This window comes from Homo sapiens, chromosome 18 (genome assembly GCF_000001405.40).
Source record: "Homo sapiens chromosome 18, GRCh38.p14 Primary Assembly".
NCBI classification, from domain to species: Eukaryota; Metazoa; Chordata; class Mammalia; order Primates; family Hominidae; genus Homo; species Homo sapiens.
In genome coordinates, this window is record NC_000018.10 from 22,644,387 (window position 1) to 22,670,837 (window position 26,451).

Here is a 26,451-nt window from a genome sequence, read left to right on the forward strand (position 1 = left end):
GATTAAGAAAAAAGGTACGTCACAAATGCACAAAATATATGTAGATATTAGTTTATCACTTACTACCATAAAATATATACGAATTTATTATAAAATGTTAAAACTTACCAAAACTTAGGTACACAAACACTCTACATGGCACCATTCACATAAATATAAAGATGTAGTATTAAATCATAACTGCATAAAGCTAACCATGCTACACACTGTACTACTGTAATAATTTCATAGCCACCTCCTGTTGCTGTTGAGATGAGCTCAAGTGTTGCAAGTATCCACTTAAAACCCTGTGTGACACTAATCATCTTTGCGTGAACAGTTCATCTCTCCAGTATACTGCGTTACCACAGTAAAAAGTGATCTCTCAAAGTTCTAGGTATCTTTCATTGTGTTTAGTGCAATATTGTAAACCTTGAATAATACCATGGGATCCATATGTAGTGCCACTAGCCATGCTGGAAATGCTCCCAAGAACAGAGAAAAGTCATAACATTACAAGAAAAGTCATAACATTACAAGAAAACGTTGAACTGCTTGATATATTACTGTAGAATGAGGTCTGCCGCTGCACTTGCCCACCATCTCAGACAGACAATTCGTCTTGTAAACAGATGATGTAAACTTACTACTGTGATTACTACAGTACAGTACCGTAACTGTATTTTATCTTCCTTATGATTTTCTTTCTTTCTTTTTTTTTGAGACGGAGTCTTGCTCTGTTGCCAGGCTGCAGTGCAGTGGCGCGATCTCGGCTCACTGCAACCTCCGCTTCCCGGGTTCAAGCAATACTCCGGCATCAGCCTCCCAAGTAGCTGGGACTACAGGCAAGCACCACCACGCCCAGTTAATTTTTGTGCTTTTAGTAGAGACGGGGTTTCACCATGTTGGCCAGAATGGTCTAGATCTCTTGACCTCGTGATTCGCCCGCCTCGGCCTCCCAAAGTGCTGGGATTACAGGCGTGAGCCACCGTGCCCGGCCCTTATGATTTTCTTAATAACATTTTCTATTCTGTAGCTTACTTTATTGTAAGAATACAGTATATAATACCTATACAAAATATATGTTAATCGACTGTTTATGTTATTAGCAAGGCTTCTGGTCAACAGTAGGCTATCAGTAGTTAATTTCTGAAGGAGTCAAAAGTTATACGTGGATTTTCAACTGCGTGGGGGGTCAGCACCAAAATCTTAAGTTGTTCAGGGGTCAACTAACTGTACTTTGAAAACTGAATAGGAAGAAAGAGCCTACATTTTTCCTTACAGAGAAATGCCAAGACTTTTGTTAACTTTCAAACTGGAGGAATGCTAACTGTCATAGCTGAGATCTGGGAAAATTTTAACTTATGCCAAAGTCAAGCTTCTACATAATTATTTTTAAAGTGAGGATAATTTTTCTACTTGAGACAACCTAGCACAGTGACAGAATAAGAAGATAGAAAATGTGTCACTATTTACTCTTGCTGAATGTAAATCCATAACTTAACTGAAGAGTAGGTGAAATGCATTACCTTCCCAGGGAAGAACTCAAATCTCTTTCCTGAGAATCATTCCCTTTCTGCAAGAATTCTATGAAAGAATTATATACAATAGAATAAAAGCTTATTATTTATTTACTAAATCAAAGTTGCCTGGATCATTATTACACATTTATCAGAAAAAGTCATAAATTTTCTGCTTAGAGATTTTACACTTAGCCGGGCGCGGTGGCTCACGCCTGTAATCCCAGCACTTTCGGAGGCTGAGGTGGGCAGATCACAAGGTCAGGAGTTCCAGACCAGCCTGGCCAATATGGTGAAACCCCATCTCTACTATAAATATAAAAATTAGCCGGGCATGGTGGCGCGTGCCTGTAGTCCCAGCTACTCAGGAGGCTGAGGCAGGAGAATTGCTTGAACCCAGGAGGCGGAGGTTGCAGTAAGCCGAGATCGCGCCACTGTACTCTAGCCGGGGCAACAGAGTGAGACGCTGTCTCAAAAAAAAAAAAAAAAGAGATTTTACACTTTATAATAGAATTAAAATACTCAGAATTGGAATAACTCTAAAAATGAATACAAGTAATTTAAAGGAAAATATGTACTGGATTTAGTCAATAAAGTAGTATAAAAATATACAAGCTACAGGTAGGTGCTGTAGTTTAAAATTAAGCATCTTGGTATTTGTTAATTGTGTCCTTGGAAGGCATCTTTTATATCAGCCTGACTAAAATGATCTACCACCCTTTGCTCTCTCTTTAAACAAATACAGTGAGTTTACTTCCTCACACTTTGATACAAATTTCTCTATTCCGGTGAATATGGATGTCTATTTTTTCTTTCTTGGTAAGCAGAAAGAAGTCTGAATCACAATTCAAAATGCAATTTTAGTTTAAGTCGAAAATGGGGGGACTACTAATTATATGGGCAATAGTATTATGATGTGCTAAGAATGCCATCAAAACTTCTGTCTGCATATATATTATATATGCATATATTTGTGCATTAATTATATAATAGAAATAACATATACTGTGTGTTATCTATTATCTATTTTCTATCATCTCCACTTTAACTTAAGACATAAGTACAGATTAATTAATAACCCTTAGCAAATTAATTAAAATGGGAATTCTTTTCACGAAGTCACATATATCTAAAGTTGTAAGGACCAACATACATGTTGGTTTCAGTGTTAATCTTTTCCTTTAAAGATCAAGTATGATTACCGTTTGGAAATTAATTTTAGGCAGCTATTTGACTAATATCATAGCTGACTCAGCTAAGAAAGAAAAGAGCAAGAATTGAGAAGCCTCATTCAATATTGACTGCAAACTGTGGCAATGCTAGAGTTCCTAACAAAAATCATCTATGTAAAGTTTGGTTACACAAACTGGCTAACAAGCTGGTAGGGACAGCTTAAATTTGCAGTATGTGTACACTAGTTTATCATAACCTCAATTGAATAATGTACACTCTCTAACCCCCCCCAAAAATTACTGAGTATCTTAGCTTTGGGCTTTAACTATTTGGACTAGCAAGTTTTGTTTTGTTTTGATTTGTTTTTAGTAGCTATTCCCAAAATGTAAATCAGTTAGTCAGATAATATATGATGAATATATTTAATAATTGATACACTCAACAAGAATGAAAGTATTCATGGATATGAAAAAATACCTCCCCTTTTCAAAAAGGTAATTTATGTATTAAGAAAAAAACTTCAGTGCTCACTTTGGCAGCAAATATACTAAAATTGGAATGATATAGAGAAGATGTACATGGTCCCTGTGCAAGGATGACATGCAGATTTGCGAAGCGTTCTATATTTTTTTATCTACGCAGCAAACCACCATGGCACACGTTTACCTATGTAACAAACCTGCACATCCTGTACATGTACCTCGGAACTTAAAAGATGAAAAAAAAAAAACTTTAGACAACAGATGGGCTTTAAGAGATAAAATGGAAATGTGGAAAGCTTCCAGTTTGTTAGGCAGCTAGCAGCACCTAATAAGCGTCTCCTAGTTTCTTTTTTTTTTTAATTTTTATTATACTTTAAGTTTTAGGGTACATGTGCACAATGTGCAGGTTAGTTACATATGTATACATGTGCCATGCTGCTGTGCTGCACCCATTAACTCGTCATTTAGCATTAGGTATATCTCCTAAAGCTATCCCTCCCCCCTCCCCCCACCCCACAACAGTCCCCAGAGTGTGATGTTCCCCTTCCTGTGTTCATGTGTTCTCATTGTTCAATTCCCACCTATGAGTGAGAATATGCAGTGTTTGGTTTTTTGTTCTTGTGATAGTTTACTGAGAATGATGATTTCCAATTTCATCTATGTCCCTACAAAGGACATGAACTCATCATTTTTTATGGCTGCATAGTATTCCATGGTGTATATGTGCCACATTTTCTTAATCCAGTCTATCATTGTTGGACATTTGGGTTGGTTCCAAGTCTTTGCTATTGTGAATAGAGCCGCAATAAACATGCGCGTGCATGTGTCTTTATAACAGCATGATTTATAGTCCTTTGGGTATATACCCAGTAATGGGATGGCTGGGTCAAATGGTATTTCTAGTTCTAGGTCCCTGAGGAATCGCCACACTGACTTCCACAAGGGTTGAACTAGTTTACAGTCCCACCAACAGTGTAAAAGCATTCCTATTTCTCCACATCCTCTCCGGCACCTGTTGTTTCCTGAGTTTTTAATGATTGCCATTCTAACTGGTGTGAGATGGTATCTCATTGTGGTTTTGATTTGCATTTGTCTGATGGCCGGTGATGGTGAGCATTTTTTCATGTGTTTTTTGGCTGCATAAATGTCTTCTTTTGAGAAGTGTCTTTTCATGTCCTTCGCCCACTTTTTGATGGGGTTGTTTGTTTTTTTCTTGTAAATTTGTTTGAGTTCACTGTAGATTCTGGATATTAGCCCTTTGTCAGATGAGTAGGTTGTGAAAATTTTCTCCCATTTTGTGGGTTGCCTGTTCACTCTGATGGTAGTTTCTTTTGCTGTGCAGAAGCTCTTGAGTTTAATTAGATCCCATTTGTCAATTTTGGCTTTTGTTGCCATTGTTTTTGGTGTTTTAGACATGAAGTCCTTGCCCATGCCTATGTCCTGAATGGTAATGCCTAGGTTTTCTTCTAGGGTTTTTATGGTTTTAGGTCTTAACGTTTAAGTCTTTAATCCATCTTGAATTAATTTTTGTATAAGGTGTAAGGAAGGGATCCAGTTTCAGCTTTCTACATATGGCTAGCCAGTTTTCCCAGCACCATTTATTAAATAGGAAATCCTTTCCCCATTGCTTGTTTTTCTCAGGTTTGTCAAAGATCAGATAGTTGTAGATATGCGGCATTATTTCTGAGGGCTCTGTTCTGTTCCATTGATCTATATCTCTGTTTTGGTGCCAGTACCATGCTGTTTTGGTTACTGTAGCCTTGTAGTATAGTTTGAAGTCAGGTAGCGTGATGCCTCCAGCTTTGTTCTTTTGGCTTAAGATTGACTTGGCAATGCGGGCTCTTTTTTGGTGCCATATGATCTTTAAAGTAGTTTTTTCCTAGTTTCTTATAAAAATAACTTTGACACCAGGTGCGGTGGCTGACGCCTGTAATCCCAGCACCTTGGGAGGCTGAGGCAGGTGGATCACCTGAGGTCAGGAGTTTGAGACCAGCCTGGCCAACATGGTGAAACCCCATCTCTACTAAAAATACAAAAATTAGCCAGGCGTGGTGGTGTGCGCCTATAGTCCCAGCTACTCAGGAGGCTGAGGCAGGAGAATCGCTTGAACCCAGGAGGCGGAGATTGCAGTGAGCTGAGATCATGCCACTGCACTCCAGCCTGGGCGACAGAGTGAGACTCCATCTCAAAAAAATAAAAAATAAAAAAAAATAACTTTGAAGACAATTCTCCTTGAAGGAAGACATCTTATGGAAATACACGATTGCTCAAAGATAAATGTGTAAAGACATTCACTGGAGCTTTGTTTGAAAAGGAAATCAGAAATTCCCTAAATGTTCATCAAAAAACAAATGTTTAAATAAACTATGAGATACCAATGCAATAGGTTAATTTGCAGCCTTTATAAATACTGAAATATGTATACATTGATATGAAAAGTACTCCCTGCATAAAAATAAGATTTTCAAAATGTTTGGACAGTATCTGTAGAATAAGCCCCTTTAAAAATAACAATCATAAAACATGTATACATTATGATAAAGGCAAAGAAGTTCGAATAAATATTTGCAAAATATTTGATCATCTTTTGGGAGACATGATTATAGCGTATTTCACTTCACTTTTTGCTTATTCATTATTTTGACATCTTTATGAGATATAATTTCCACACCATGAAATTCATCCATTTAAAGTATACAAATTCAATGATTTTCAGTATATATTACAAAGTTGAGCAAGCATGTCTACACTCTAATTTTAGAACATTTTTGCTACCCCTAAAAGAAAAAGAAACCACATAGGCATTAGTAGTCACTCTCCACTCCCTCTCTAGCAACTATCTGGGCAGCCACTAACATACTTTCTGTCTCTATGGATTTGTCTATTCTGGATATTTCATATAAATGGTATTGCACAATATGTGAATTTTTGTGTCTGACTTTTTTGCTTCACATAATGTTTTAAAGTTTCATCCATGTTGTAGCATGTGTCAGCATTTTATTCCTTTTTATAGCTGAGTAATGTTCCATTGTATGGATATATATTTTGTTTATCCATTTGTTAGTTGATGGACATTTGGGTTGTTTCCACTTTTTGGCTATTAAAAATAATATTGCTATAAACACTGGGGTGTGTTTTTGTGTGGATGTATGTTTCATTTCTCTTGCGTAGATGCCTAGGAGTGGAATTGCTGGGTTATACGCTAACTCTATGTTTAACTTTTTGAGAAATTATTAAACTGTTTTCCATAGCAGCTGCACCATTTTGCATTGCCACCAGCAATGTATGAGGGTTCCAAATCTTCCATATTCTTGGCAATGCTTGTTGTTGTTTATCTTTTTTATTATAGCTACCCTTGTGGATATGAATTGGTATCTCATTCCACTATTGATTTTTATTTCTCTGATGGCTAATGATATTTATAATCTTTTCATGTGTTTACTGGCCATTTGTATATCTTTGGAGAAATAGTTATTCAAATTCTTTGCCCATTTTTAATTAGGTTGTCTTTTTATATGAGCTCTTTATATGGTCTGGAGACATATTCCCTATTAGATACATAATTTGCAGATATTTTCTCTTATTCTGTGGGTTCTTTTTACTTTCTTGATGATGTCCTTTGCAGTGCAACACTTTTTTATTTTGATTAAATGCAACTTAGCTTTCATTTTCTTTCACTGCATTTGGTGTCACAGCTAAGAAATCATTGCTTAATCCAAAGTCATGAATATTTATACCAATGTTTTCTTCTAAAAGTTTTATAGTTTTACTCATACATTTAGGTCCTTGATCCATTTTGAGTTGTTTGTGGCATGAAGTGGGTCCAACTTCTTCCTTTTATGTGTGGATATCTAGTTATTCTAACACCATTTATTGGAAAGACTATTCTTTCCCCTTTAAATGGTCTTGAAACCCTTGCTGAAAAATCAGTTAATCACAAATCTAAAAGTTTACTTCTGGATTCTCAATTTTATCCCATTGATCTATATTTCCAGCCTCACACCAATACTACACTGTCTTGATTATTGTAGCTTTATAGTAAGTTTTGAAATCAGAAAGTATGTGTCCTAGATTGTTTTGGCTATTTGGATTCCCTCATTTCCATATGAATTTTGGGATCAGCTTGTCAATTTTGGCAAAAGAAAGTCAGCTAAAATTTCTATAAAATTGTATTGAATCTGTAGATAACTTTGGCAAGTATTGCTATTTTGACAATATTGTCTTCCACTCCATGAACATGGGATACTTTTCCATTTAATAAGGTGTTCCTTAATTTTTTCCAACCATGTTTTATAGTTTTCAGAATAAAAGTTTTTCACTTTTTGTTAAATTTATTCCTAAATATTCAATTAATTTTGAGCAACTGTGTATTTCCATAAGATGTACATATATATTATACTGTTTTTATAATTTCATTTTTTGATTCTTTATTGCTAGGATATAGAAATATAATTGAGCTTTATAGATTAATGTGGTATCTTGCAATTCTGCTGGACTCAGGTATGAGATCAAATGGGTTCGGGGAGGTTCTTTACAATTATTTATGTACTAGATTATGTCATCTGAAATAGAAATAGCTTTTACTTTCTCCTTTCCAATCTAGATACATTTTATTTCTTTTTCTTGCCTAATTGTCCTGACTAGAATCTCCATTACAACATTGAATAGAAGTGGTAAAGGTGGACATTTTTGTGTTGCCATTGATTTTAGGGTTCTTGCTGTTTTATCCAATCTGACAATGTCTGCCTTCTAATTGAGGTATTTAAAAAATTCACATTTAATGAAATTTTTATGTGGTTGGGTTTAGACACATATATAAACATTTTCTATAAACATACATTTATATGTATATACACACACATATATTTTCATATGGTTGTGTTTAAACATGGGACAGCTGTGAGTTTTCTTTTTTATTTCTAATCTTTGCTCCCCTTTTTCTCTTTTTCTGCTTTCTTTGGAAGGAATTTTTTTTTCCATTTTGTATCTTTTTTCCTAATTAGCCAAAATAAGGGTTATGTATTATTTAATTTAATGATTGGTTTCAAAGTTAAAAATACATATTTTTATTATTTCTGTCTGCCTTCAAGTGATATTACACCACTTCACATACAGTGTAAGAATCTCACAAGCCTATACTTTCATTACTTATTTCCCTGTCTTTATGCTCTTGTCATACATTTTAATTCTACAAATATTATGAGTCTATAATACATTGTTATTATTTTTGCTTTAAACAATCCAATTATCTATTAAAGAGATTTAAATATTTAATAATAAGACATATTTTTTTTTCTCTTCTTATGTATTTTCCCTTTCTGGTGCACTTCTTTGTTTTGTTTAGATCAGGATTTCCATCTAATACTACTTTTCTTTTGCTTGAAGGACTTCCTTTAATATTCCTTATTGTGCCGGTCTGATAGTGATAAATTCTTTCAGTTTTTACAGGTATTTTTGAAAGATAGTTTTGCTGGGTAAAGAATTATAAGTTGCCTTTTTTTTTCTTTTAGTACATAAACTAGTGCTCTACTGCCACTAGTTTTCGTTGTTTGTGGCAAGAAATCTGCTCTTACCCTTCTCTTTTTTCTTCATTACATAATGCGTCTTGTTTTTCTGATTACTTTTAAGATTTTTTTCTCTATATCACTAGTTTAAGGCAATTTGATTATAATGTTCATTGGAGTAGTTTTCTTAAGATTTTCCTGCTTGGGGTTTATTTAGCTTCCTAGACGTGCAGTTTACAATTTTCACCAAATTTGGGAAAAAAAATTAACCATTATTTCTTAAATTTTTTTTCTGCCCTTCCCTTCCCTTCAGAGTCTTTAATTAAATGTATGCTAGGCTGCTTGAAGTTGCCCCACTACTCACTGATACTCTGTTCAGTCTTTCATCTTTTTTCTTTGTATGTTTCATTTTGGATAGTTTCTATTATGATATCTTCAATTTCATTAATCTTTTCTTCAGCAATTTCTAATATGCATTAATCCCATACCATGTATTCTTTATCCAAGAAATTGTAGGTTTCATCCCTAGAGATTCAATTTTGGTCTTTTTTTTAATGTCTTTCAAGTATCTATTTAACTTGTTTAATCTTTCATTCAGATTCTTGAACATACAGAATATAGTTGTAATAACTATTTTAATGCCCTAGTCTACTAATTTTATTATCTTTGTCAATCTTGGTTGATTGAGTTTTCTCCTTATTATATATCATATTTTCCTGCTTTTTTACATACCCGCTAATTTTTTATTGCATGCTACACATGGTGAATTTTAGCTTCTAGGATGATATATATTATTACTTTTTTTTTTTTTTTTTTGAGATAAGAGTTTCGCTCTTGTTGCCCAGGCTGGAGTGCAATGGCACGATCTCAGCTTACCGTAACCTCCGCCTCCCAGGTTCAAGCGATTCTCCTGCCGCAGCTTCCCAAGTAGCTAGGATTATAGGCATGTGCCACCACGCCCAGCTAATTTTGTATTTTTAGTAGGGATGGGATTTCTCCATGTTGGTCAGGCTAGTCTCAAACTCCCATCCTCAGGTGATCTGCCTGCCTCAACCTCCCAAAGTGCTGGGATTACAGGTGTGAGCCACAGCGCCCTGCCCTATTGTTGCATTTCTATAAATATTTTGGGCTCCAATCTTCGATGCAGTTAAATTACTTGGAAACAGTTTACTCCTTTCAAGTTGTGCTTTTAAGCTTTCCTAGATGAGACCAGAGAAGCATTTAATCTAGGGCTACTTTTGCACTTCTACCAAAGCAACACCCATCTTTATACTCTATCTTGTGTCCTGTGAATTATGAGACATTTCACTCTGACTGGTGGGACAGTCGCTATTCCAGTGCCTTTTGTGAGCTCTGAGAGTTAGTCACTATAATACTATAATCCTTTTGTGTGATTTTTCCCCTGGCCTTGAGTGATTTCCTCATAGGCATGCATTGATCAGTACTCAGCTGAATACTGAGCTGAGGGAACATACCTTCTCAGATCTCTAGAGCTTGTGTATCTTCTCTCTCTCTCTCTCCTCTGCCCCCAACCCCTCTAGCTCTCTTCTCTCTAGTACTTTGCCCTGTAAACTGTACTCTCTTTGGCCTCCTTAGATTTCCAGCTCTGCTCCCCCAATGTAAGGAGACCACTAGGCTCTGCCTGAATTCCTTCTCTTTACAACACAGCCTGGAAACTTTCTCTAAGTAGTAATCTGGAACAACTGTAGAGCTAACTTCACTTATCTCCCTTTTCTCAGGGATCAAGGTATTTTGTTGCCTGACTTTAAATATCTTAATAACCATTGTTTTATACATTTTGTCCAGATTTCAACTGTTTCAGGCAAGATGATAAATCAGGTACCTGTTACTTCATCTCAGCCAGAAGAAGAATTGACTGTAAATTTTAAAATTTCTTCTCCCTGGAAATTATCTGTGTTCAAGTTTTCTATTACTGCATAACAAACCATTTCAAAAATTATTGGTTTAATATAACAATAGTATTTATTTTGCTCATGAACTGTAGCTTTGGTAAGACCCTGTGAGGACAGCTTGTCTTTGCTCCACCTGGCATTAGCTAGGTGGCTCAAAAACTGGGGATGGAATTCTCATTCATTCACATATCTGGTCATTGGTACTGGCTAATGCTAAAATCTCAGCTGGAACTGTGATTAGAATACCTTATGCCATCTTTTCATGTGGACACTTGACTTCTTAATAGCATAATGGCTGGGTTTCCAAGGGTAAATGGAGAAAAATGAGAGAGAGACAGAGAGAGAGAAAACATCACGTAAGAGCTACATCACTTTTTCTAACCTTGCCTAAAAAGATCACACAGCCCAGCATCATCACAATATATTCTTTAGAAGCAAGTTTCTAAGACTAGCCCATATTCAAAGATAGAGGAATTAGACTCTCCCCTTTGATGTGAGAAATGCCGAATAATTTGTGGACACATTTTTTAAAACCTCACATTTGTTCTCCACGTTGCCTGTTTCTGCTTATTTTGATTTCTATAGATACTTTCCTGTTATCTGATGTTTCTGGGTTGAAGGTTCATATTTATTTAAAATAGGGGCACTAATACCCTCTAAGAGTGGGGGAGGTTTGTCTATTCTGAGCTTTATTGTGATCTGGTTGAGATATTTAAATGGCAAATTTTCAGCATCTCTTTAGATATTTCCTGTTGAACCAGTCATATTCCCTTGGGAAAAATCCCCAACCTCTTCTTTGGAGGATGAAGACCAATATTCTGGGACCTGAATGTAGGAAGAGGGCTGGCTCAGAATCCAGGATGCAAATATTATCCACATCTTCATTTTCTGTTCAGTACCTCCAACCTCAACTGAACCTGAAGTTCCCTTTGTTTCCCTTTTTTAAACAATATTCTTTTCCTAGGGTCAAAAAATGGCTGGTCCCTGGGTGGTTTATCAGACTGTGGGGAGCAATATGGGATCTGGATAGTTCTTAGACTTTCAAACAATCCTCCTTACTTAATCTCTATTTTCAGTCCCACTTCCAGAAGAATCTAGCACTGCCCATTCCTTCACCTTACACAAATTCTTCTGTATAAATCAGATGAACTTCTGCTTTCCTCACTGCTGGCTTAGGATTCGCTTTTCCCATTTGCGTTCCCACTTCCAACATTTTATTTTCTGGTCTTCTTCTCCAATCTTCTCTTTCTTGTGAATCTTTTAAAAAAATTCCTTTATTGCCATTTGATGGTATTTGGGGAAGGAGCAAATAAAAACATATGCTTAATTCACTATATTTTGTCGGAAGCCAAGCTCACTCCTTTAAGCTCTACTTTTAGGTTACTCAATACAAAGATTTTCCAGGTTCAACTATCTTCTTTTCAACACCTTAATTAGTGCTCCAGCATTCATGTAGCAAATCTCCTAAAATCTCCTTGATATCTGTGAAAGTTCCTGAGTGACTGCTATTTTCATGCCTTTCCTGGACTATTTGGTCTAGTTTGTTAAAAAGCTACTTCTAAGTAGATTATGTGCATTAAAATCTGCACCAAATCACTTTTCAATGTCTCTCTAGCTATTAATGGTTTGGGGATTCTCTTTAAAGTTTCATTTCAGGCTGGGCACGGTGGCTCATGCCTGTAATCCCAGCACTTTGGGAGGCCAAGGTGGGCAGATCACGAGGTCAGGAGATCGACACCATCCTGGCTAACATGTTGAAACCCCATCTCTACTGAAAATACAAAAAATTAGCCGGGTGTGGTGGTGCTCGCCTGTAGTAGCAGCTACTCGGGAGGCTGAGGCAGGAGAATGGCGTGAACCTGGGAGGCGGAGCTTGCAGTGACCCGAGATCGTGCCACTGCACTCCAGCCTGGGCAACAGAGTGAGATTCAGTCTCAGAAAAAAAAAAAAAAAAAGTTTCATTTCACATTTTTATTCCTATTCCTGTCTCTCTGTGGATCATGTTTTCCAGTATCACTGCTTTCTAAGAACAAACAGTGATGGCATTTACATACTTAGGACATAATTTATTTTGTCTTCAGATAAAGAAAGGTGAAATAAAATTCAAAATTCAATGGTGATTAAGACATTTCTCTAGAATAATATATTTTTCCCCTGAAGTCCTCAAGACAGTCGGTTGTAACTAACTAATAACCATCTACAAAAAACACAGAGTCCTAGAACAGTTAAGAACTGGTCAAATGTCATGCAATCAGACCATTTTAGAACTAGGTTTGTTTATTTTTGAACTTTCATATTGACTTAGATACGCTTGGGACCATTTTTAAGGGAATAGCACTACTAAGCATGTATCTGGCTGAGCAGGGAAAATAAAATAATGAATTCTCATGTACCCATCACCCAAATTAAGCAATTTTCAATTCTTGGCCTGTCTTGCCTCATCCATGCGCCATTTGTTTCTTCTATTTTGTTACTTTGAAGCAAATCTCTGACATAAAATCACTTCAAAAGTGATAAACTTTCAAGGTGAAAAATCAATCAATAGTTTAGATTAAGTAGTATCAAGTACATATAACACATTTTAACTAGGAAAAATATGTTCCTAATTAGAAGTGAAAATTCAAATATTTTTTCAAATTTTTAACTTTTTCTTTCTCCTCAGGAATGCCTGTAACTCATAGGTTTCGTTGCTTTACACAATGCCATATTTCTTAAAGGCTTTATTCAGTTTTTTAAATTATTTTTTCTTTATTTGTTTTCTGGCTGGGTTAATTTGAAGGACTGGTCTTCAAGCTCTGAAATTCTTTCTTTTGCTTGATCTAGTCTATTATTAAAGCTTTCAACTGTATTTTGAAATTCCTTCAGTGAATTTTTCATTTCCAGAAGTTGTTTTTTTAAAAAAGATCTCTCTCTCTTCTTTCATATCCTGAATTATTTATCTGATTTCTTTGTGTTGTTTTTTTAACTTTCTCTTGGATTGAATTGAGCTTCCTTACAATCCATATTTTGAATTCTTTATCTGTCACTTCAGAATTTTTATTTTGGTTAGGATCCATTGCTAAAGACCTAGTGTGATCCTTTGGTGGTGGTTTCACAGCAGTCAGTTTTTTCATGATCTTGCTTGAGATGTAGACATCCAGATACAAGAAGTGCAGAGAACACCTGGGAGATACTTTACAAGAAGAACATCACCAAGGTACATAGTCATCAGACTATCTAAGGTCAAGTTGAAAGAAAAAATTTTAAAAGCACCTAGAGAGAAGTGTCAAACTACCTATAAAGAAAACCCCATCAGACTAACAGTGGACTTCTCATAAGAAACCTTATAAACAGAAGAAATTGGGAGCCTATTTTCAGCCTTCTTTAAGAAAAAAAAATGCCAGCCAAGAATGTTCTATCCTGCCTAAATAAGCTTCATAAGTGGAAGAAAAATAACGTCTTTCCAGGCAAGCAAACATTAAGGGAATTCATCACAACTAGACTGGTCCTACAAGAAATGCTCAAAGGCATTCTAAACATGGAAAAAAAAGGGCAATATGCACCAACATAAAAGCAAACTTAAGTACAAAGCTCACAGATCCTATTAAGCAATTACACAATTGAGATTACAAAGCAACTAGCTATCAACATTATGACTGGAGGAAAACTTATCAATATTAACTTGAAAGTAAATGGCCTAAATGCTCCACTTAAAAGATATAGACTGGCAAAATGGATTTAAAAAACAAGACCCAACAATTAGTCGCCTACAAGAGTATCATCTAATAGGTAAAGATGCCCACAGACTCAAAGTAAAGGTGGTTTCAGTTTGTGATCACACAAACTGAAAACAAAAACAAGCAGGAGTTTTGACATAAGTATCAGATACTTATATCAGATAAAATAGACTTTAAATCAACAACGGTGGAAAAAAACAAAGAAGGTCATTATATGATGATAAAGGGTTCAATTCAGCAAAACCATTTAACTACCCTAAATGTATATGCACCCAATATCGGAGCAGCCAGATTCATAAAACAAATACTATTAGACCTAAGAAAATAGATAGATAGCAACACAATAATAGTAAGGGACTTCAACACCCCATCAACAGTATGAGACAGATCATAAAGGCAGAAATTCAACAAAGAAACTCTGGGAGTTTCTTCCAGTAGGAGATAGCTTAAAAAGTAAAAATTTAGAAAAAAGAAACAGGGTATAAACTGGACTCTGGAGCAAATAGGCCTCATAGACATTTACTGAACACTCTACCCAACAAATGTAGAATATGCATTTTTCTTATTCACACATGAAACATTCTCCAAATAAACCATGTGCTTGGCCATAAAGCAAGTCTCAATACATTCAAAAAAATTAAAATTATATCAAATATCTTCTCAGACCACAGTGAAATAAAATTAAAAATCAACACCAAGGGGAAATCTCAAAATTATGTAAATACATGGAAACTAAATAACTTGCTCCTGAACAATCTTTGAGTAAATAATAAAATTAAGAGAGAAATCAATAAATTTTTTGAACTGGATAAAAATAGGGACACAACATATCAAAACATTTGGGATACAACAAAAGTAGTGCTCAGAGGAAAGCTTATAGTGTTAAATGCCTACAAAAAGATAGAAAGATCACAAATTAACAACCTAATATCCCACTTCATAGAGCTAGAAAAACAAGAACAAACCAAACTCAAAGCTAGCAGAAAAAAATAAATAACAAAGATCAGAGCAGAACTAAATGAGATTGAGACCAAATAGATATAAAAGATCAATGAAACAAAAATATTTTTCTTCAAAAGGATAAGCTAAATTGATAGATTGCTACCTAGGAGTCACCAAGAAAAAAAGAGAAATGATCCAAAAAACACAATCAGAAATGATAAAGGTGATACTAGAATATAATCACAGAAATAATAAAGATCATCAGAGAGTACTATGAGCACCTCTGTGCACAAACTAGAAAACCTAGAGGAAATGGATAAATTCCTGGAAACATGCAACTCCCAAAATTGATCCAGGAATAAATAGAAATTGTGAACAAACCAATAATAAGTCATAAAATTAAATCAGTAATTTAAAATACACTCCCAAAAAAGTCCAAGACCAGACAAATTCACAGCTGAATTTTACCAGGTGTACAAACTAATATCAATCTTACAGAAACTATTTCAAAAAATGAAGGAGGAGGGATTCTTTCCCATCTCGTTCTATAAAACTGGTATCACCCTGACACCAAAATCAAGCAAGGACACACAAAAAAGAAAATTACAGGCCAATATTCCTGATGAACACACACAAAAGTCCTCAACAAAATACTAGCAAACTACAACCCTTCATGCTAAAAACTCTCAATAAATTAGGTATTAATGGGACGTATCTCAAAATAATAAGAGCTATCTATGACAAACCCACAGCCAACATCATACTGAATGGGAAAAAACTGGAAGCATTCCCTTTGAAAACTGGCAACAAGACAGGGATGCTCTCTCTCACCACTCCTATTCAACATAGCGTTGGAAGTTCTGGCCAGGGCAATTAGGCAGGAGAAGGAAATAAAGGGTATTCAATTAGGAAAAGAGGAAGTCAAATTGTCCCTGTTTGCAGATGACATGATTGTATATTTAGAAAACCGCATTGTCTCAGCCCAAAATCTCCTTAAGCTGATAAACAACTTCAGCAAAGTCTCAGGATACAAAATCAATGTGCAAAAATCACAAGCATTCCTATACACCAATAACAGACAGAGAGCCAAATCATGAGTGAACTCCCATTCACAATTGCTTCAAAGAGAATAAAATACCTAGGAATCCAACTTACAAGGGACGTGAAGGACCTCTTCAAGGAGAACTACAAACCACTGCTCAATGAAATAAAAGAGGATACAAACAAATGGAAGAACATTCCATGCTCATGGGTAGGAAGAATCAATATCGTGAAAACGGCCATACTGCCCAAGGTAATTTATAGATTCAATGCCATCCCCATCAAGCTACCGATGATTTTCTTCACAGAATTGGAGAAAACTACTTTAAAATTCATATGGAACTAAAAAAGAGCCCGCATCGCCAAGTCAATCTTAAGCCAAAAGAACAAAGCTGGAGGCATCATGCTACCTGACTTCAAACTATACTACAAGGCTACAGTAACCAAAACAGCATGGTACTGGTACCAAAACAGAGATATAGATCAATGGAACAGAACAGAGCCCTCAGAAATAACGCCGCATATCTACAACTATCTGATCTTTGACAAACCTGAGGAAAACAAGCAATGGGGAAAGGATTTCCTATTTAATAAATGGTGCTGGGAAAACTGGCTAGCCATGTGTAGAAAGCTGAAACTGGATCCCTTCCTTACACCTTATACAAAAATTAATTCAAGATGGATTAAAGACTTAAACGTTAGACCTAAAACCATAAAAACCCTAGAAGAAAACCTAGGCATTACCATTCAGGACATAGGTATGGGCAAGGACTTCATGTCTAAAACACCAAAAGCAATGGCAACAAAAGCCAAAATTGACAAATGGGATCTAATTAAACTCAAGAGCTTCTGCACAGCAAAAGAAACTACCATCAGAGAGAACAGGCAACCTACAACATGGGAGAAAATTTTCACAACCTACTCATCTGACAAAGGGCTAATATCCAGAATCTACAGTGAACTCAAACAAATTTACAAGAAAAAAACAAACAACCCCACCAAAAAGTGGGCGAAGGACATGAACAGACACTTCTCAAAAGAAGACATTTATGCAGCCAAAAAACACATGAAAAAATGCTCACCATCACCGGCCATCAGACAAATGCAAATCAAAACCACAATGAGATACCATCTCACACCAGTTAGAATGGCAATCATTAAAAAGTTAGGAAACAATAGGTGCTGGAGAGGATGTGGAGAAATAGGAACGCTTTTACACTGTTGGTGGGACTGTAAACTAGTTCAACCCTTGTGGAAGTCAGTGTGGCTACTCCTCAGGGATCTAGAACTAGAAATACCATTTGACCCAGCCATCCCATTACTGGGTATATACCCAAAGGACTATAAATCATGCTGCTATAAAGACACATGCACACGTATGTTTATTGCGGCTCTATTCACAATAGCAAAGACTTGGAACCAACCCAAATGTCCAACAATGATAGACTGGATTAAGAAAATGTGGCACATATACACCATGGAATACTATGCAGCCATAAAAAATGATGAGTTCATGTCCTTTGTAGGGACATAGATGAAATTGGAAATCATCATTCTCAGTAAACTATCACAAGAACAAAAAACCAAACACCGCATATTCTCACTCATAGGTGGGAATTGAACAATGAGAAAACATGGACACAGGAAGGGGAACATCACACTCTGGGGACTGTTGTAGGGTAGAGGGAGGAGGGAGGGATCGCATTAGGAGATATACCTAATGCTAAATGACGAGTTAATGGGTGCAGCACACCAGCATGGCACATGTATACATATGTATCTGACCTGCACATTGTGCATATGTACCCTAAAACTTAAAGTATAATAATAATAAAATAAAAATAAAAATAAATAAATAAATAAATACTAGCAAACTGAATCCAACAGCATATCAAAAAGATAATATGATGTGCTGTGGATTTTATTCCCACATGATCAAGTGGGTTTTATTCCAGGGATGCAAGGATGGTTCAACATAAGGAAATCAATAAATGTGATTCACCACAAAAACAGAATTAAAAACAAAAACCAAATGATTATTTCAATAGATATAGAAAAGCATTTGATAATCCAACATCTTTTCATGACTAACACCTTCATCAAACTGGCATCAAAAGAATATAATTCAAAATAATAAGAGCCATATAAGGCAAACCTACAGCTAAGATCATACTGAATGGGGAAAGTTGAAAGCATTCCTTCTAAGAACCAGAAATAGACAAGGATGCCCACTCTCACCACTCCTAGTTAACATAGTACTGGAAATCCTAGCCAGAGCTATCAGGCAAGAGAAATAAATAAAATGCATCTAAATTGGAAAAGAGGAAGTTAAATTATCTCTGTTCACTCATGACATTATCTTACACCCAGAAAACCCTAAAGACTCTCAAAAAGATTCCTAGGCTTGAGAAATGAGTTTGGTAAGGTTTCAGGGTTCAAAATGAATATGCAAACATCTGTAACATTTCTATACATGAATAATGTTCAAGCTGAAAGACAAATTAAGAACTCAATCCCATTTACAATAGCCACACACACACACACACACAAATACCTAGGAGTACATCTAACCAAGGAGGTGAAAGATCTCTACAAGAACTACAAAACACTGATGAGAGAAATGATGGATAACACAAACAAATAGAAAAATATCCCAAGCTCATGGATTGGAAGAATCAGTATCATTAAAATGACCATACTGCCCAAAGCAATGTACAGATTCAGTGCAATTTCTATCAAATTACCAACATCATTTTTTTGCAGAATTAGAAAAAAATCCTAAAATTTATATGAAACCAAAAAAGAGCCTGAACAACCAAAGTGATCCTAAGCAGAAAGAACAAAGTTGGGGGCATCACATTACCTGGCTTCAAACTATACTACAAAGCAACAGTACCCAAAACAGCATGGTAATGGTAAAATAACAGACACATAGACCAATGGGACAGAATGGAGAATCCAGAAATAAAGCCACATGTGTACATCCAACTGATCTTCAACAAAGTGGACCCTCAAAAAATGGGGAAAGGACACCCTGTTCAATAAATCATGTTGGGAAAATTGGGTAGCCATACGCAGAAGAATGAAACTAGATCCCTGTTTCCCACCATAATTAATTCAAGATTAATTAAAGACTTAAAACTATTTTTTTTTTAAAAACCTGAAACTATAAAAATCCTAAAAGAAAACCTAGAGAAAACTGTTCTGGACATTGGCCTAGGCAAAGAATTAATGACCAAGACCTCGAAAGCAAATACAACAAAAACAAAAGTAGACAAATGAGATTTTTTTTTTAACTCTTGTTTTAAGTTCAGGGGTACATGTGCAGGTTTGTTACCTAGGTAAACTAGTGTCATGTGGGTTTGTTGTACAGATTATTTTATCACCCCGGTATTAAGCCTAGTACTCATTAATTATTTTTTTTGATCCCCTCCTTCCTCCCACCCTCCACCCTCTAACAGGCCCCAGTGCATGTTGTTCCCCTTTATGTGTCCACGTCTTCTCATCATTTAGGTCCCACTTGTTAGTAAGAACATATAGTATTTGGTTTTATGTTCCTGCATTAGTTAGCTTAGGATAATGACCTCTAGCTCCATTCATGTTGCTGCAAAGGACAAGATCTTGTTCTTTTTTATGGCTGTGTAGTATTCCATGGTGTATATGTACCACATTTTCTTTATCCAATCTGTTATTGGTGAACATTTAGGCTGATTCTATGTCTTTGCTATTGTGAATAGTGCTGCAATGAACATACACACCATGTGTCTTTATAATAGTATGACTTAAATTCCTTTGGGTATATACCCAGTAATGGGATTGCCGGGTCAAATGGTATTTCTGTCTTTCGGTCTTTGAAGAATCACCACATTATCTTTCACAATGGTTGAACTAATTTCTACAGCCTCACCAGCATCTGTTTTTTTTTTTTTTTTTTGACTTTTTATTAATGGCCATTCTGACTGGTATGAGATGGTATCTCATTGCGGTTTTGATTTGCATTTTTCTAATGATCAGTGATGTTGAGCTCTTTTTCATATAATTGTTGGTCAAATGTATGTCGTCTTTTGAAAAGTATCTGTTCAAGTCCTTTGCCCACTTTTTAATGGTTTTTTTTTTTGTTTTTTCTTTTAAATTAAGTTCCTTCTTGATATGGTTTTTGGCTCTGTGTCCTCACGCAAATCTCATGTTGAATTGTAATCCCCAGTACTGGGGGAGGGACCTGGTAGGAGGTGATTGGATCATGGGGGCAGATTTCCTCCTTGCTGTTCTCATGATAGTGAGTGAGTTCTCAGGAGATCTGATTGTTTAAACGTATGCAGTACTTCCCCTTTCACCCTTTCTCCTGCCACCATGTGAAGATGTGCTTGCTTACCCTTCACCCTTCCACCATGATTGCAAGTTTCCTGAGGCCTCCCCAGCTGTGCCTCCTGTACAGCTTGTGAAAGTGTGAGTCAATTAAACCCCTTTTCTTCATAAATTACCCAGTCTCAGGTAGGTCTTTATAGCAATGTGAGAATAGGCTAATACACTTGTAGATGCTGAATATTAGACCTTTGTCAGATGTATAGTTGGCAAAAATTTTCTCCCATTCTGTAGGTTGTTTGTTTACTCTATTGATAGTTTCTTCCGCTGTACAGGATCTCTTTAGTTTAATTAGATCCCATTTGTCAATTTTGCTTTTGTTGCAATTGCTTTTGGTGTCTTCGTCATGAAATCTTTGCCAGGGCCTATGTCCTGAATGGTACTGCCTAGGTTTTCTTCCAGGGTTTTTATAGCTTTGGGTTTTATATTTATGTGTTTAATCCATCTTGAGTTGATTTTTGTACATGGTATAAGGAAGAGGTCCAGTTTCAGTCTTCTGCATATGACTAGCCAGTTATCCAAGCACCATTTATTGAATAGGCAATCCTTTCCCCATTGCTTGTTTTTGTCAGGTTTGTCAAAGATCAGATAGTTGTAGATGTGAGGACTTATTTCTGGGTTCTGTATTCTGTTCCATTGGTCTATGTGTTTGTTTTTGTACCAGTACCATGCTGTTTTGATTTCTGTAGCCCTGTAGTATAGTTTAGAGTCATGTAGTGTGATGCCTCCAGCTGACAAATAATATATATAATATAATATATAATATATAATATGATATATAATATATATTACATATAATATATATATGATATATAATATATATTATATATAATATATAACATATATATGATATATAATATATATTATATAATATATAATATGATATATAATATATATTATATAATATATAATATGATATATAATATATATTATATAATATATAATAAATATACAATATATTATATATTATATTATAAATATATTATATCTATAATATCTATAATATATATTATATACATACCATGGAATACTATGCAGCATAAAAAAAGAATGAAATCATGTCTTTTGCAGCAACATGAAAGGAGCTGGAAGTAATTATTCTAAGTGAAACAATTCAGAAGCAGAAAATAAAATAGCACATGTTCTTACTTATAAGTGGGAACTAAACAATGAGTACATATGGACAAAAAGATAGAAATAATAGACAGTGGGGACTCCAAAATAGGAGAGGGTAGAAGGAGGTGAGGGTTGAAAAATTACCTATTGGGTACAATGTTCACTATTTGGGTGATGGGTATACTAGGAGCCCAAACCTTGCCATTATGCAATATATCCATGCAACAAACCAACACATGTACCCCCTGAATCCATAATTTTAAAAAAAATGAAAAACAAAAATGTAAAAAGTTTTAAAAAGATAGAAGTGAGTACTATCAAGCTGACCATAATGAAGATACTAGTTGATGTTTCAATGAAAATGTGTATTTACTGATCTGAGTCAAGACAGGTAAACCTCAGACACCTCAGCTCCAACCCCAACAAGTATCTGAACTCTGCTCTTGGCCTTCCTCCTGCCCTTTGGACTTGGACTTTGTTTTGCTTTCCCTGGTTCAACCTACTCTCGACAGATGTAGGTTGCCTCTGCACTTGCCTCAGCACTCTGGTTCTTCTTGTTCTATTTCAGGAAATGTTTATCTCTGTATCTCCAAGCCTAGCTCAATACCTAACACAAAGTAGGAATTCAGCTGATGCTTATTTAAGGAATGAGTTGCCGTGAGAATGGCAAAGAAATCTCAATGAAGGGAGAGATACTGGACACCTGCTCCAGGGCTCACCTCACCAAAGCGGCAGTTTTCCTTTCAGTGTTCAGTGTCTACTTTTCTCTCCAGGAAAACACTGATCCAATTGCTTCTCATCGGCAAGATTATTCAAGTAATCTTAGATGTGCAAACAAGCCACGGTGGCCCTTGTGTCAGGCAGAACCAGGGCCCCCTGCAGTTGCCCATCATACTTCATGTCTTATGAGATGATCCCTGAGCAGCACTGGAGACCCCAGACAGAAGATGCCTTTTTGATGCTATTAAGATCTTTCTATTAGTGTGGAGGGAATAAAAGGGGCAGGGAAGAACACCCATCCCTGGGGTGTTTCTTTACAGAGCACCCATCGCTCCAAAAGCAGGGGTCACTTTGTGAAGGTAAGATCATATTTTTACAGTGCTATCTTCTGAATGAGAGGAAATCCACACGCCAGACAGCCTCCTGTCACCAGACGGCCTGTATCAGCCTCACTATGTGGACTGGTGCAGTTAAGCCCTGAAAGATGGTGTGCGGGGGTGTCAGACACAGCCCAGGCAGGGGAGGGAGGAACTTCAGAGCAGGCAATCCCACCTCCTGGGAAGGACTGGCCTTGTGACCTTAGCCAGTGTCTTCCAGCCTCCTCAGGACCCTCCTTGGTAAAGCAAAGATTAAACACTGACCCATCCACCCAGATCATGTGAGTGAAACAGCAGCCCCACTGGAAAGGTATTGGAGAATAGAACTCTTTATTTTTTTTTAGAAACATGAACATTTCCATTAATCTTCTCTGCCCCCAAATTGTGGTTTCTGGTTCCTTGATTCTTACAAATAAAAGAGAGAAACAGTTTTGGAGAACAACGTGTCTTGGCCCTAAGAATAATTTTCTTACTTGTGCAGTTGAGGACGGTTTATTATGGGTCTGTTTAGTGTCTCGGTCAAGGGAGGGAAGGAATAAAATGTTGATCCAAGAAGCCATCTTGCTCTGAGGAGTGATGAAGTACATTTTTGTGTGCTGAGGCACTCTTATGGGTTGAATTTCTTTACAGAATGAGCCCAAGTAGGCAGGTACAGTAATAGAATGGCTCACTGGGAGATTATTAGCAACACCAGAGGCTTATCTGTCCTTGTGTCTCTGGGGAGAAGCACAAAGAGGGGGAACTAATCCACTCCAAGAAGAAGAAAGAGATGGCACCTTATCCCTAATTTGATGTATCACTCGTAGGGTAGGTAGGAAAGTTCTTCAGTTCCATTTGGCCTAGGCAGTGAATTACTCCTCATATTTCTATTTTCTAGTGGTCAGTGAGCTATGAGTCATGCAGTGACTCATAGCATCATCATCAATGTATATTTGGGGGTGCTCTCAGGGTTCCTGGGTTCGTGCTGATAAGGAAAGCCAGGCTTTGTTATGACTGAGTCTTTTTCCGTGCTATGTGTTTCGTGTGTTTTTTTAGCCGCCACAACCATCCTGATGGTGTCATACCACTCAGAATGATAGAAATGTCTTACTTTTTTGGAAACTAGATAAACAAGAATATCATGCATTTGGGAAATGTTTAAATGTACACCCACATGTCAGGCCCACTAAGTGTGTATTTGAAAAATCATTTTCATTTTTATCATGCTTTGACAAAAGGAAGTACATCAACGCTCTGTTTAGGAAAAATATACTGTACTCTGCTACTGAACAGCTATGTGGCCTTGGGCACGTCTCTTAACTTCCCAGGGCCTCAGTTTCCTCATTCACTGTCTACTTTCCTGATTCTACCGTAACACTTCATTAGGTTGCAAACTATGTCTAGAAGGTAGCAGCACCCCCATCTCTCATTCAAAGGGCCTTCTCAGGACACACCCTCCTCTACCAAGGCTGTGCTCACTGATGACTTCTCCATGAGCAGCTGACTGAACTTGGTTTGTAGGAAGTTCATACAATCTGCTGGCACCAGCAAGAAATGGAATGCTGGAAGCTTCCAGCTTCACTCAAGTACATTTAACCATTCAACAGACACTTATTGAACATGTCCTATATGCCAAGCACTGAATGCCAAGGATCCAGCAATGTCAAAGCAGACAATGTCCTTCTTCTCATGCAGCTTACCTTGTAGTGTGGGAAGTGGAAAATAAACAACATAAATAGGTAAATTATGCAGAAGGTGTTAACAACTATGGAAAAATAGAGCAGTTTGAGGGATAAGGATGCTGGTGTATTGGCAGAGAAAGAGGGTTAAGGCCTGGCTTCACTGTAAAGGTGGTGTTTGACTAAGACTTGCAGGTGAGAGAGTGAACCATAAGGATATCTTAGGAGGACTGGCCCAGGTAGAAGAAAGAACCGCTGCAGAGACTCTGGGGAGACATATGGCTGGCATGCTGGAGGAGCATCAAAGTGGCCAATGTGGCTGGAGCAGAGTGAATTCAGCGCAGTGTAGGGGATGAGGCAGGGGGTACAAGGGGTCAAAGCGTGTAAAGCCTCATAGAGGCTTTACAAGGCTTGACTTTCACTTTGAAAGAAATGAGAAGCCATTGCAGGATTTTGAACAAAGGAATAGCCAGATCAGGCCGGGCGCGATGGCTCACGCCTGTAATCCCAGCACTTTGGGAGGCCAAGGCGGGTGGATCATGAGGTCAGGAGATCAAGACCATCCTGGCTAACACGGTGAAACCCCATCTCTACTAAAAATACAAAAACTTAGCCAGGCGCGGTGGCGGGCACCTGTAGTCCCAGCTACTCGGGAGGCTGAGGCAGGAGAATGGCATGAACCCGGGAAGCGGATGTTGCAGTGAGCCAAGATAGTGCCACTGCAGTCCGGCCTGGGCGAAAGAGCGAGACTCTGTCTCAAAAAAAAAAAAAAAAAAAAAAAAAAAGGAATAGCCAGATCTGACTTACATTTTATAATAAAGCTCAATCTGTTTATTAATGGAAGAATAAAATGAAGGGAAGTGGCAAATCTGAGTCACTAAAACAATTTAGGAAGCTGTTGGGATAAATTATGCTTGCATGGACCAGAATAGTAGCAGGAAGATGCCAGAGGTGGTTGGATTCTAAATATAATTTGAAGGTAGACCCTTTAAAATTTCCAGGTGGATCGGAGGTGAGATGTGAGAAAAAGAGAATTGTGGACAGCTTCAAGGTCAAGAACCTCTTTGGTAGTGGATGCTCTTTGGGGTTTTAATATGAGACATAAAGATCCATATGCTCTATGATCACTCCCAAGGGTCCATCCCACAACTCCTTTCCCTATTTGCTCCTTATTTTCTATTCTTATTCCTTCCAGGCCTCTGACCAATAAACCAAGCCATTCACACCACTGCTCAGGGGCCTTGTAGATCTGTACTATGGGCCACTGCTCCCTGCTGGGTTACACTCCTGAAGTCACTCTGAACCCACCCACAGTTTGCTGTGGAGGCCGTAGTTAAAAAGCAAATGGCCAACGGCAGCTGAGACAGGTGAAATTGGGAGATATGAAGGACTCAAAAGAGGTGTTTCAGACACAAGGTCATTTATTTCTGTTACTATGTTTTTTATTTCTAGCATTTCCCTTTTATGATTTCTTGAGTTCCCATCTCTGTTTATATTACCCATCTTGCATGTTCTTGCATGTTGTCTACCTTTTTTTCCATCAGAGCTCTCAGCACATTAATTATAGTTATTTTAAATTTTTGGTTGGTCTGATAATCTTAAAATCTCTGCCAAATCTAAGTCAGGTTCTGTTGCCTGCTTTGTCTTTTCAGGCTATGTTTGTTTTTTCTTGCCCATTAGCGCACCTAAATTTTGTTGAAAGTTACACATGATATATTAGGTAATAGAACCTGAGGTAAGTCAGTCTTTGGTGTGAGGGTTTATGATTACCTGGTTAGGAGCTACACTTTACTTTTTGTTGTAGCTATAAGCGTCTGAGGCTTCAATTTCTTCTACTGTCCTTGTTTTTGTCTCTCCAGTTATCTTTGGGTTTCCCTAGAAATGTCTTTTTAAATAGAGTCTGAGCCTTGCAGACTTTTCAACTATTATCATCTGTTATGATTTAGGA

General features: G+C 36.9%; 1 pseudogene, besides 2 other annotated features; it reads left to right on the plus strand.

The window, feature by feature from the left end:
* On the plus strand, window positions 3,196–3,302 carry RNU6-1032P (RNA, U6 small nuclear 1032, pseudogene; annotated as a pseudogene).
* Window positions 23,736–23,880: an enhancer, noted in NCBI's record as "145 bp enhancer 84 fragment used in the MPRA reporter construct; PK_construct_4335". NCBI's record gives its function as "activates an SV40 promoter by MPRA in HepG2 and K562 cells {active_cell/tissue: HepG2 | K562}" and the evidence as "EXISTENCE:reporter gene assay evidence [ECO:0000049][PMID:23512712]".
* Window positions 23,800–23,817: a transcriptional cis regulatory region, noted in NCBI's record as "GATA motif; enhancer activity is reduced when this motif is scrambled". NCBI's record gives its function as "necessary for full MPRA enhancer 84 activity {active_cell/tissue: HepG2 | K562}" and the evidence as "EXISTENCE:site-directed mutagenesis evidence [ECO:0005528][PMID:23512712]".